This window comes from Homo sapiens, chromosome 20 (genome assembly GCF_000001405.40).
Source record: "Homo sapiens chromosome 20, GRCh38.p14 Primary Assembly".
NCBI lineage: Eukaryota > Metazoa > Chordata > Mammalia > Primates > Hominidae > Homo > Homo sapiens.
The window spans coordinates 1,598,976-1,612,959 of record NC_000020.11 but is presented as its reverse complement, the minus strand read 5'-3'; the positions used below and the strand labels follow the sequence as shown (position 1 = coordinate 1,612,959).

Below are 13,984 nucleotides of genomic sequence, written 5' to 3'. Positions count from 1 at the left end.
TCTGGACTTCTTCGTCAGACTTACTGCAATTTTATACCTTTTGACCTCCCCATCACCTCCCCTAAGTTCACCCCTAGTCACCACTGTTTTATTCTCTATCTTTGTGTATTTGACGTTCTTCATTTCTTCTTCATTGTACCCCAGTAACACTATTTTGGACTTCTAACCCCCAGAACTATAAAATGTTACATTTGTTTTAAGACACTAAGTTTTGGTAATTTGTCACATCAGCATTAGGAAACTTATGTAATGTGTTTATGCTATGGGTGAAATATTACAAGGGGCTTAAAACAATGTTGTATTTCTACTGGAAGCTACATATTCAGTGTGGATTGGCAGTTCTGCATGCAACGGTCATTCACGCATCCAGGCAATGGAGCAGGCCCCATTAGAGCCTTGTGGGTCTCAGGAAGGGAGAAATTGATCCACAGAGGCTCTTGCAGTTACATGCACAGCCCACAAATTATACCCATCACTTCTGCTCGTAACTCAAGGGTCTAAAGAAGTCACACGGCCCCACCCAATCCATTGATGCAAAAAGTGCAACACTCCATGTAGCCACAGAGTGGAGGCACATATTTAGCAAAACATGGCACTTCCAAGGAGGGCTCAAGAGTTCTACTCAGGTCCTCAACCCAAAGCTCTACATTGAAATTGAACCTCTTGGCCAGGCATGGTGGCTCACGTCTGTAATCCCAGCAGTTTGGAAGGCCAAGGCAGATGCATTGCTTGAGCCCAAGAGGTAGACACCAGTCTGGGCAACATGGTGAAACTGTGTGTCTACAAAAAACACAAAAATTGGCCAGGTATGGTGGAACGCACCTGTGGTCCCAGCTACTTGGGAGGCCAAGGAGAAAGGATCACTTGAGCCTGGGAGGTTGAGGCTAGAGTGAGCTGTGATTGTACCACTGCACTCCGGCCTGGGCAGCAGACAGAGCAAGACCCTGTCTTAAAAAAAAGAAAAAGAAAAACAAAAAGAAAAGAAAAGAAAAAAAGCAAACAGAAAGAACAAAAGAAAGTAAGGAAACAGAAATTGAACCTCTCTGTGCCTCAGTGTCCTCGCTTGTATTACAGTCTTATGTCACAGGCCAGTTGTGAGGGTTAAATGAGATAATACGTGTAGTGTGCTGAGCTCAAGGCCTTTTCCTGGTGTGCACCCGGTCAATGAAAGCCATTGATAAACACTTGAGGAAACACAGAGGATCACGTAAGGATGAAAAAATGACTGCTTTGTGCTCCTTTCCAGGGGTAGCTGGCGAGGAAGAGCTGCAGGTGATTCAGCCTGACAAGTCCATATCAGTTGCAGCTGGAGAGTCGGCCACTCTGCACTGCACTGTGACTTCCCTGATCCCTGTGGGGCCCATCCAGTGGTTCAGAGGAGCTGGACCAGGCCGGGAATTAATCTACAATCAGAAAGAAGGCCACTTCCCACGGGTAACAACTGTTTCAGACCTCACAAAGAGAAACAACATGGACTTTTCCATCCGCATCAGTAACATCACCCCAGCAGATGCCGGCACCTACTACTGTGTGAAGTTCCGGAAAGGGAGCCCCGACCACGTGGAGTTTAAGTCTGGAGCAGGCACCGAGCTGTCTGTGCGTGGTGAGTACAGCGTGGGCTTCCTTCATCCCCTAGTGTGTGACAATAACTCAATAATTACATTATCCATTCTTAGAGCAACAGTCAGGTGTGGTGGTGGCTGAGCAGCCACCCTTTCATGAACTGATGTCACCCCTTCTCCAGATCACATGAGTTGAGGCTTGGAGATGTCATGGCAGTCGCTCGAGGCTCCACGGCTTGGAAATGATGGGACAGAAGGCATCCCCAGCTTGCGGCTCTACAGCTCTTGTGTTTCCAAAGCTGATCCAGCCCTTTGGTTCCACAGATGAGGGAACTGACAATTTGAGTGACTTGCCCAGGCACAGGGCTGGACCTTGCCTTCTGCCTCCAGAGAACGCTTCCCCCTCAGGGTGGCCAAGTCTCTTCTTTATGCAGCAGGCACTCACTGAGACCCCACTGTGTGCCAGGCTCTGCCCTAGATGCTGTGCAAACAGCAGTGAATGAAACAGCCCAAAGCTCTTCCCCACCAAGCTTACATTCTCTTCCCTTCTAATGAGGAGAAATCTGTCCAGCTCATGAAGAGGGTAAATTGTGTTTTTCTTTATTTCATCCTCAGAAACACCCCACGGGCAAGATTTCTGGGAGGCACATTCACTGTTGAATCTGATGGCCTGGTGGGAGGAGATGCCAATACGTTTGGCATTTGCTGTGGGTCTATTTGGGAAACCCTTCTGCGATTTGGGGACTGAGTCACACAGTTACCATGGGCTCCGAGCAGAGCTGCATCATCTCAGAATGTCCCTCACCTCAGGAAAGAGGTCCCACAAGTGGGTGACTTAGGGGTTTCCCATATAAGGCTGCAACAATGCTTATCTGGGGTTTCCTCCCAGAGGCCCAAGAGCTTCGTCCTAAGTCCTGAATTATGGAATGTCAGCACAGGAAGGACCTTCAGACCATCCAGCCCAACCCCCTTTACAGATGGGAGACTGAAGCCAAGACATGACAGGGGCCTTGTCCATGGTCACAGGGCCAGTTAGTGGCAGAATTGGAGCCAGAGTCCATATCTGAATCGTGGCAGTCTCCTTCCTTCCCCAGCGTTAGACGCTGTCTCCATAGAAGAGCCTGGTGCATCATAGGTGCTAGATAAAAGCTCCTCAAACAGAGCCAGGTGTCAGAGAGCCAGCATTTCTCTTTTCATCAGTTTCCCAAATGTTAAGAATGCACCTCACATTCAGATACTAAAGCTTGTTTGTGATTGGAAAACTTCTCCCAAATGTAAGCCCTGTCATTCCATATCGAGATTCCACGTCAGGACATAGAGAGCTGCTCCAGTGTGTTTACAGCTGAAAAATACTCCAATCTATGGAAATATCAAAATTTATTTTACAGTCTTCTGTTGATGGATATGTAAGTTATTCCCAACCTTAGCTACTAAAGCAATCATGCAATGGATGACCTTGTACATGTGTCACCCTACTCAGGCGGGAGACACCCACTGGAAGTGGCGTTCCTAGGTCACAGGATAGTGTGTTTTCATATTTGAGAATATTGCCTGATTTCCCTCCTAGATGATGTAGCAATCAGAGATTACAGGCATAGGCCACCACGCCTGGCTAATTTTGTATTTTGTAGAGACAGGGTTTCTCCTTGTTGCTCAGGCTGGTCTCAAACTCTCAACCTCAGGTGATCCACCCACTTTAGCCTCCCAGAGTGCTCAGATTACAGGCATAAGCCACCGTGCCCAGCCCCACTTCAAACATTTTTAATACAGTGGTTTTAACATCTGCCTCTAGCATCGGGGTGGACACAATACATAAGAAAGGTCCTTACAAGAAGGAGGAAGGAGATTAATTCTTAGAGAAGGATTTGTGAGGGTGCAAGCAAGAGGTTAGAGTGATGGGAAGATGTAACTGTGAGAAAGGAATGTGGGCAGCCTCTGGAATTTGGAAAGGCAAAAAACGGAATCTCCAGAAGACACATAGCTTTACTAACAGCTTTTTAAAAAAATGTGTATATGTAAAGCGTAAAACATGATGCTTTCATGTACATGTATGTATATGAAAATGTACATTGCCCAGTAATGACTGAAATCAGCTCCCCACAACCCTTGAACTTAGACAAGGAAGGTGGCTTTTTCCTGATTGTGCAGATAATATTGGCAAAGACACTGAAATGCCCAGGTGGTGCCTCCCCAGCCCAGGCAGTCACAGCCAGTGGTGGCTCAGGTGTGACTCAGATCTGCTCACTCCTAGTGAAGTACTCACTCCTCTTTGCCATGCTCTCGGCCTAAATGATGAGCTACATGAGAAAGGAGGGAGGTGGGGAAGGGGGCCAGAGAGCAGCAACTGTGCCAGAGTCTCCTTATAACCAGTGCTATGAGGGAGAAGCCATTTGCTACCTCCTTTAAAGATGAGGACACTGAAGCTCAGAGAGGAGACCTGACTTGGGAGCAGGTCAGGGAGCCAAGGCTGGAACCCCGCAGCCTGACTCACAGCCTTTGTCTTTGTGACACTCAACTGTGGTTTTTCAAGAGTGGAGAAATGCTCCAACCTTCTCTTTCTAAACTCTTGCATTGTTCAGTTCTACAGCAAAAAGCATTAAAAACAAAACAAGAACCCTGTAGGGGTAGGAGGGCCTGTCTTCACACTCCCATCAGAAAGGCCCTGCGCGTGTCTCATGATATGCCAAGCCGGTTCCTAAAGGACAGGTCTCAACACACATGAGGCATTTAGGACTCTTCCCCCATGTTGTGTTGTTTCCTCTTCACTCAGCAGCGTCCAATGAGCAGAGTCGAGCCTCCTGCAGCCCAGCAGAGCACGTATCTGCCCGTTCATGGTGCTGAGGACTAAGGATGAGGAGATGAGGCATTTCCTAGAGAGTGTTTGGGGCCCATGTGAGCAAGAGTTGAGATTCTCCCCTCCGGCTGTCAGGAGCCCACTGTCTTTTGCTTATGGCTGCAGGGTAACCAGGCCTGGGCACCCAGGAGGGAGGCTTCTCCCTAACATTGCATGAAGTCTAGAATCTCAAAGGGACAATTGAGGTGGCAGTCAGTGTTGGAGCTCAAGAAGTTAGAACACTTGCTCTGTTAATGGACATAAGTGCTTGGTGGGACACAGGAAATGCCCACTGGGACACATGGAGAATCGGGAGACAGTGCCTTCATTTTGTTCAGCCACGGCATCTTCATCTGTAGAATAGAGACAATCATGGACTCCTTTAGGAAAGTCGTAAGCGTAAGGTTCTCTCTGTAAATCACCTAGCGCACTGTAGGCACCCCCAAAGTGAGGTGTTATTTCAAGATCGTGTGATCTTGGGCCAGTCTTGCCTTCCCTTGAGTCCTCGGTTTCCCCATCGGTGAGATGCTGATTATCATGGCCTATTCTGGGTTCTGTGAGGATTGGAGAGGATGTGCACAGAGCCCCTAATGGTGGTGTCATTCAGGTTATTACTGAGCTTCTGCAGAACTGTCGTTAGGAGAACACAGGCAGTATCCCAGCTGCCTGGGCCTCTTCCCGGCTCTGCCACTTCCTGGCTCTGTGACCTGGGACAAGGTGCTTCACCACCATAGGCCTCGATGTCCTCACCCTTTGATGGTAACACTGACCTCACAGACTGGGCCGAGTCTGAAGGAGTGATATTGTGTAAAATGCTTAGGGCATCAACAAGCACACAGTAAATGCTCAATAAAGGTGAGTTGTGTTAGGGTGAAGCTGTGTGACCTCAGACAGGTCAGGGCTTCTGTAGGCCCCAAGTATAAATGGGGTTTGGGTTGGAGTCCAGTGGCTTTCAACCTTGGCTGCTCATTAGAATCATTGGGAAAACTATCAAAAAAAAAGTTTGCAAAGCTGGACCCAGGAACCCCCCTAAAATGCCAATTTAATTGCATCTAATTTGGGCCTGGATATCTAAAGTTCTTAATGGCTCCAGAAGATTCTCATACACAGCCCCCTAGCAAAAGCGGTGCCCCAGGTTTTGGGGCTTTGAGAACAGCTTTTTGGGTCATGGGTGCTTCAAAACAGCCATTCTGGAAACATTCTGGGAGGCCCCAGAAGCCTGAACAGGACCCCTCCCATGCTACTGGCCTCAGGGCCCAAGATAGGAGACTGGGACAAAGCCTGGCTCAGATGCAGCCTCAGGGCTGGGGAACCTTCTGTCTTGAAAACATTTGTATCTAAACACGTGCTGGAGTCCCAGCAAATCCTCACTCCTCAGCCCCAGAAGCCTCCCTCCCTCAGCACTCCCAGATGTCACTGAGGTATCTTTTCCCTCCTTCTTCCAAAATGCTTCCAGCTTCCCCTGTGATCTTACTTGAAAGCCAGTTCGCCAAACATGGTGGTTGCTGCTCCTTTTATCATTTGGGTTTTTTCTGGCAGCTGCGGTGAGTAGGGTTTGAGCCTTTCCTTGGTGTTTGTGTGCCTCTTTGTTCTGTTGCCTAAAGAATAGCTATGCAGCTCCAGAAGCAGTAATGACCAAACCTCATGATTACAGTCACAGGGGCTATTTATTAAGCACCTACTACATGCCAGGCTATGCCCTTGCACTTACCCTCACTCATCTTCCCAGGGTGGGGTTTCTATCTACTTTTGGCCCTTGGCCACCAAGGATCCTCTCAGAGTCTCGCCCTACACAAGGGCTCACATGAGGACCCCCTCTGACAAATAGAGGGAGGATTGAAGTGTTGAGAGGTACAGAGAGAGCAGCCAGCATCAGGCTGCCAAGAAGCCCTCAAAAAATCGGAACTGAAGACAGCCTCTCAGCCTTCTAGGGACACCCATGCTGCTGGTGTCTCAAAGACTTGACATCTTCAAGTGACACCCTCCTTACTGTGCTCTCACATTATTTCACGCATATCAGGGAGCAAGTTAATATTGGCAAAGTCAAACGTATAATATGTGCTTTCTAAGAGGACGGCAGAAGGTTCAAGGTAACAATTAGCAATTTGCAGACACCCTTAAAATTCATCTACATGGAGAAACTGCACTCGTTGTTCTGATTCTCCAATGTGTTTGCTTTCAAGGCCCAGAATAGGTTTCTGTCTGTTGGTGTGGCCTGGGTCTTTGTCTCTTGTAATTAATTAACGATGAAAAAGCTAACCACCTTTGGCTTTCTTAGTACTCAGTGATCCTTGTTTTTCACCCAAACCTGTCCTAACTGAAGATTCAGATTCCCAAAAATTTCCTCTTTTCAAATTTAGGACTTCCAGCAGATTAGAACAACTAACAACAACAGCAAAATGATTGTTAGGAAGGCCAAAGGAAATAGCATTTATCTGAAAGATAAAGAGGTGCAATTTGGGTACACTGAGTCAGTGAAACCCTGAATAGTGTCCCGTATGGCAATACAGGACCGGTTTTTTATAGGGGATTTTCACTAAAGGTTGTTTTTGGAAACAGTTCATTAGCTGGTTGAAAATCCTCAACTGCAAACCCACTCTCATTGGTTATTTCATTAAAGTACTCCAGGTGAAAGAGATCAAAATCCCACGGACCCTGGCTTCAGTTGTTATCCAGGTCTATCTACTGCAACATCCTGTGGCTTGACCTCTAGCAGGTGTGATTCCAATGCTCTTACAAACTCTTGGCTCTACGTTAAAGCTTTATCCTTAATTAATGCCTTTTATTTGACAGAACGAAATATTTGTGAAAAGAAAAATACGGAATGTTTCATATTTTTATAATACCTAAAGAGAGACCTCTGTGTATCTGTAAAGTCTGGGTTAAAGATAGATCTGTGTTTTTTCGGGGAAGCATCTTCTGTGTTTGATCCAGAGCAAAACTGCTTCCATTGCCCCATTGAATCCTGGCGACATCCCAGGAAGTAGAAACGCCGTCCTCCGTCCTCCTGTTTTGCGGATGAGGAGCTGGGGGTGTCAGCCCACCCCTGTCCTGGGCTGAGCAGCCTGGTTGCAGCTCTCACGGTGGTGCCACTTTGCCATTGATCCCTGTATTGGCTTCTATAAATGCCCTCTCTGAGGTTAGTGAGCCTTCCGGGGGAGGACAGCTAGGACCAGTTAATAACATGGAGGGAGACCAATCAGTAATTTTGTTCCTATGCCCAGATTGGTGGAAGTCTCCCTGTGTGGAGAGGACTTTGAACTCAGGCCTGGACTTCCCTCTGGGCCCTGCCCCTACACTGTCTCACCTCACATGGGTCCTCACCTCTCCCAACCTTTGCATCCTGCTCTGTAAAATGACAATAAGGACACCACCCTCATTAATCTTTCCACATTATTGGAAGGATAAAAAATAATGTCTCAGAAGGTTCTTAACATCTCACACACTTATCGTTAGTGATTGTCATCTGAGTCATGTCTCCTGATTATCGATGGTCCTTTTGTAGCCAAACCCTCTGCCCCCGTGGTATCGGGCCCTGCGGCGAGGGCCACACCTCAGCACACAGTGAGCTTCACCTGCGAGTCCCACGGCTTCTCACCCAGAGACATCACCCTGAAATGGTTCAAAAATGGGAATGAGCTCTCAGACTTCCAGACCAACGTGGACCCCGCAGGAGACAGTGTGTCCTACAGCATCCACAGCACAGCCAAGGTGGTGCTGACCCGCGAGGACGTTCACTCTCAAGTCATCTGCGAGGTGGCCCACGTCACCTTGCAGGGGGACCCTCTTCGTGGGACTGCCAACTTGTCTGAGACCATCCGAGGTAGAGGACCCTCACCCAGCCCAAGCCCACACCTGACCACCAAGCCCACCCCCCACCACCCTCCACTCATCCAGCTCTACTCTTGCTCCAGGGCTTGAAATGCCTGGAACCTAAATTCCTAACTGCCCACCTCCCATGCCCCTAGATGTGCCAGCCACTTACTAACATTTTAATGGCAGTGGCTGGGTGACCACACCACCCACCAGGTGCCAAGGACTGTGCTAGCCGTTTCATTTATTTCACTGATAGCAAACACAGTTAATGAGTACCTACTATGAGCTAAGCCTCTATGTGCTTGGTGATTTTCTTTATTTTGCTACAGTTACAGCATTCCAACTGCATGCCAGGGGTGGTGCTTATAGATTTCCCTCATTCTTAGCCTAGTAGGAGCTACCAGTCCTTGAGCACCTACTGTGTGCTGGGCGTTGTGCTTAGTAATTTCATTCATATGCAAAGAGCACCCTCAATGTCTGAGCACCTGCTGCATGCCTAGCACTGTCCTGGTGATGCCCTCACCGTGGTGGGGGAGCTACGTTATGGAGCCCTCCCTGGATCTGTCTGTGCCACAAGGTCAGAGCTTCTGCCCTGTGCTGTTTCAGTTCCACCCACCTTGGAGGTTACTCAACAGCCCGTGAGGGCAGAGAACCAGGTGAATGTCACCTGCCAGGTGAGGAAGTTCTACCCCCAGAGACTACAGCTGACCTGGTTGGAGAATGGAAACGTGTCCAGGACAGAAACGGCCTCAACCCTTACAGAAAACAAGGATGGTACCTACAACTGGATGAGCTGGCTCCTGGTGAATGTATCTGCCCACAGGGATGATGTGAAGCTCACCTGCCAGGTGGAGCATGACGGGCAGCCAGCGGTCAGCAAAAGCCATGACCTGAAGGTCTCAGCCCACCCGAAGGAGCAGGGCTCAAATACTGCTCCTGGTAAGGTTACTTCAAATTTTTAAATTTTATCTTTTTCTTTCATGTTAAAATTATTTATGTTTGTCATAAAATAAGCTAGAAGTCTATAAGTATAAAGTAGAATTTTAAAGTCAGCATCATTCTCCCAAATCTCACCCTCCAAGAGTCATCACTATTAAAAGTTTGAGGTACAACCTGACAGATTTTTTGACATAAATGTGTGCTGAATGAGGAAGAAAGGAGGCAAGGGGATCATGTGTTCCTCACGTTCTGCATCTTGCTTTTTACCCCTGACAGTTGTTACATTCCCGTTTCTCATCAGCCACCCTGTCTCCTTCCTACTCCTTCTGACCTCTGCCTTGTCTGTTCCTTCCTAAACTTTTCCATTCATATCTGTGACCTGCCCCCTGCAGACTCCTGCATCTGCTGTGTGAATTTCAGAAAGACATGTGGAGTTTAAGCCTGGACCACGCCCCCAGGTGACCATGAGTGGTCAAAGCAAGGGCCTCCTTTGGGTCCCGATGGTGATATTTGACCAATAATAATCACAATGGCTCTCTGCAGATTTATTATGTGCAAGTTTCTGTTCATCTATGATCTCCTTTCCTGCTTCAACCATCCAGTGAGTCTGGAGTTTTACAGAAGGGGAAACCAGGACTTGGGAAGCAATGGGGGATATTGTTGAAGACAATTAGATCAAGGCATTAGACCAGATGACTGGCCCAAACTAATTAAGGTAAGTCTGAGGTCCTGAGGACAGGGTCACTACCAGCCTATAATGCAAATTTATGCTAATTTGAGAAACGTCTCTTTCTGCTGGGCATCGTCCCAAGGATGTCAATTTGGCCAGTGTTCCCCCATCTATGACCAAAATATATCTTATTTCCCTCTCATATAATACCAGGAGGGGTGTCTATTCCAGAAGACTTTTAGAAGGCCCAGCCACAGACTCTACGGCGTTGGCTTTATCTACTGGGTCAGTGCTGGGTCGCTGATTTGTCTGCTGGAAGAGTGAAGACAGGAAGTGGAGGACAACAATGTCCCCTATAATCAGAGATGTATGGAAAGTGCATCGTCACATCCACTGCTCACCCAGTTATGCGCCCACGCAGTTGCAAGAGGAGTCCGCAATTGGGTGATCTGATAATAGAGGACATTTTTTACAAAAACAATATCATTATAAACTTCATAAAATTTAAAATTTTATACCATTAAATTTCATAAAATTGTTAAAATAATTATCTCACATCACCTAAAATGGAGCATACATTCAAATTTCCCCAAATTTCTTTTGTAAACGTTTTTCTGTGCACCAGATTTGGTATTAATTTATCTGTAAATGTTTGGTAGTATTTTTCTATGAAATATCTGTACCTCAAGAATATTTTGGGGTACTTTAAAATTATGAATTCACTTTCCTCAATAGTTTAGGGCTATTCACATTATTCATTTCATATTGGGTGAGATCTGGCAACTTGTGCTTTTCAAAGAGTTTTTGGTCCATTTTATCTATGTCGTCATATTTCTGTGTGTAGAGTTGTTCATAATATCCCTTATGATCCTTTTGATGTCTGCAGGGTCTGTAGTGATAGCCCTCGCTTCATCCTGATATTTAAAATGTGCCATTTCTTTTTTCTTCATCATCAGACTTGCTATAATTTTTTCCCATTTTATTGATCCTTTCAAAGGATCAGCTGCTTCAGTTGGTTTTTGCATTGTTTTTTATATTTTAATTTCATTAATTTTCTGCTCTCTTCTCTTTTTTATTAATTCCTATCTGCAGCTTGCTTCGGGTTTATTTTGCTCTACTTCTTGTAGTTTCTTGAAGTGGGGATTTATATTATTGAATACAGACTTTTTCTCTTTTCTGTGTCATTTTTTTTGTCATGTTCTATGGCTGGGAGCTCATATTGTGGGGGTGGGTCCCAGGTGCCTGGCCTCACGGCTGTTCCTCAGTCCTCAGATCCCTAGCCAGTCTGCCTTCCTTTTTCACCTTGGAAGTTCTCCTATGCCTGCTCCTCATATTTCCAGAGTTCTTAGTTGTACTTCTCAAGGAGGAGCCGGAAGAGATGAATCTGCACCATCTATCTGAAGCTGAATTTGCTTTTTAGACTTCCATCCACTCACTAGAGCTCCGACCAGGGCTGCCATTTTTGGGTGCTTTCAGTGTGCTGGATGTAGCATCCTTGCTCATGTGCTATGGCAGGAAATGCGTTTTAGGTTGTCTAGGCTGGTACACAACATGCAAGATGCCTTATGTGACATACTGCACCAGCAGCGTGGCAGCCTAGTGAGATTGTGCACTAGGGTGTGGTGAAGGTTCTCTTTTGACCCACAGTCATTTTGCAGTTTGGCATTCTTTGTCCAAGTGATACTCAGAGTCAGGTTTGTGCAAAATTTACTTTTCCTTTTTTGTTTCTTCTTTTGGTTTGGGGAGGTTAGTTATAGAGATAATTAGTTATGCTGCTGCAACTGTCCCCAGAAACTCAGAAGATGGCTGATGATCTGTAAGTGCTTTGACCCAAACATTCCCTCCCACATCTCAGGGTCCCACAACTTCCCCATCAGGGCCCTAGCCCAGCATAGCAGCCCATTGAAGCTGAGATTCATCCATCTCTGTGGTTCTGCTACTCTTATAATGTTCTGGAACCCAATCTTCTATTCTTTCTGCCCTCTGGCTCCAGGAGATAACAATCTACACTGCTGCCAAGAAGTCCTCTGGTTTTTACACCGAGCCTTAATTCATGATAAGTTACTCTTAGCTTCTCATCGTCTTTCCCCAAAGAATTGATGCCCAGCAACAGCCATCAAACACGTTAGTCCTCATAACTATCATTTCCCAATCCGGTTTCAAATGCCTGATGCCAAGGAATTTCCTTCCCGCTTCACTGACAGTGAAAGTTTTATTAATTGCACCATAGCTGCAAGCCAGGGCCTGCCCAGCTCCATTCACTACCAGCCCTGGGGTCCTCATTGCCAGCTGATCTTGATGAGTGGTCAGTTTCCAAACTTGCATTTTAGAGTCTGCTTTTCAGACCATTTCCACTGTCAATTTTGCTAGGAGGCCAACTGGAGGTGGATACAGGAGTTCAGGAAGCATGCTAGAGTGCTGTCAGGGTCAATATGCCTGAGGGAGTGAGGCAGAAGTGTAGGAGAGGGACGTGCTGAGCCACAGTGCAGGCAGGACAAAGACCCAGCTGATTCTGCAGAGAAGCCAAGGGCTGAGAGAGTCCCTTAGAGTTCTGCTAATTGAGTAGAGAGGCGTGGCCTTCCTATTTTCAATTCAGCCAATCTTTCTATGGGCTGCCCCCTAGAAGGAGGAGTGCACTTGGAGAGTGCAGCTCTCCTCAGGGGAGACAAAGTCCTAGAGAGCCCCCCAGCTGAGAACTGCCGGCCTCCAACCTTCCAGCCACATATGCTGAGATCTCCATTCCTTCCTTAAGGACCCATCAGCACCATTTTATTTCCCAGAAAACGTACATGAAAACAGAAGTAAACATATCTTCATTTGTTTGCTTTTAACAGCAAAAAAATGCTCATTGTAAAAATGCAAAGAATCCAAATGTGTGCTTCCCCAGATCTGACTGTGTGTCCAACAGAGAGATTTCAGATGGCACCTGCTCTGGGGTTGATGTGAGCTTGATGTCTGAGTCCCTCCCAAGCATGACAGTCATGCCAGGGTGTTTTCTATCCACCACAGTACATTAGGCCCAGCCCCTCAAGGGCCTCCCCAGCTCTCAAGAACATGGGGTCAACCCTCACCACTGGGGCTAAACAGAGCAGCCTGCAACTCTCTCACTCTGAAGCCATCTTCATATAACCAAAAAGCATGTTAGTTGCTTGCTGCATGTAGAATCCAATCAAGGAGCGCGAGGTCTGATACAAAAAAAAGTGAATTTATTCCAAAGCTAGGTTGGGGAAGGGACACAACGTGTCCTGCTTTCAAATGTGCTGCTTCCCCTTTGGAGAAGAAAGCAGACACTTTTATAAGGTAATGGGGATGGGAACAAGGGCAGGGGTCCCTCTACTAGCCTGGTGACTTAGCTACCTGACAGTTGAGGTGGCGTCATCCTGAGCAGAAGTAAGTTGCAAACGTGGCCAAGGGGGCATGCTTTCCATATGCCCTCCTGGTGGATGAAAGTCTGGAGGCTACCCCTGGAGGTGAAGTTTCTATGGTGGGTATGCTTTGGTGTGCCAGCTCTCCAGGAGAGATCTGTCTTGGAGTATACAGAAGAACTTGCCCTGCAGGGAATGTCTGGTGAGGGGGAGGTGAAAGGTTATATTTGCATTTCTGAAGGGCTAAGTAGGAAACTGGGAGCAGGGGGAAAGGGGAAAGAAAACAAAGAAAATAAACTGTTTTTTAGCAAACTGGGGGTACTCAGTTATACTCATGACACCTACTTTCCCTTTTGTAATTCTTCCTATGACCCTGGGAAATTGGACTTGTCTTGTTCAAAAGGACGCAGTCTCAGGAATCATCCTAAGGGACATAATGATGGGCTTCCCTAAGTTTGGATGCGAGCAACCTTGTGACCCTCCCTAAATTCTCTGAGCCTCAATTTCCCCATCAGAATGGAATAATAATCCCTGCCCTACAGGCTTGTGAGGATCAAGTGAGGGACTCAGGTGCCACACATGAATGCATGAGTACACATTCTCTCCACTTCGTCCCTCCGGGAGGACAACCTGGCAGCCTGGGACAGGGTAAGGGAATGAGGAACCTCTTTCCCTGGCTTCTGCCTTGGGTTGGAGCTAGGGTAGCCAGGGTAAGATGCAGTTTCAAAAGCTTTGGAGCATTGATGGTCCCAGGTAGCCTCAGGTGGGGTAAGTGGGGGCCTCTGGGATGGCATCCTGG

General features: G+C 47.1%; 1 protein-coding gene across 5 annotated transcripts in view; it reads left to right on the top strand.

Annotated features, from left to right (window-relative positions):
- SIRPB1 (signal regulatory protein beta 1) overlaps nucleotides 1-13,984 on the top strand; it is a 58,625-nt gene that overhangs the window by 7,050 nt on the left and 37,591 nt on the right. For 2 of the 5 annotated variants that reach the window (NM_001329157.2, NM_001135844.4), the window contains exons 2-4: nucleotides 1,247-1,603; nucleotides 7,901-8,218; nucleotides 8,818-9,150. The exons of 2 other annotated variants lie outside the window; for them this stretch is intronic. In NM_001329157.2, coding sequence (NP_001316086.1) covers nucleotides 1,247-1,603; nucleotides 7,901-8,218; nucleotides 8,818-9,150 — 1,008 coding nt within the window. Of the gene's footprint in view, nucleotides 1-1,246; nucleotides 1,604-7,900; nucleotides 8,219-8,817; nucleotides 9,151-9,752; nucleotides 13,834-13,984 lie in introns of all 5 variants that reach the window. One more of the 5 variants, XR_007067441.1, reaches the window with a different exon arrangement.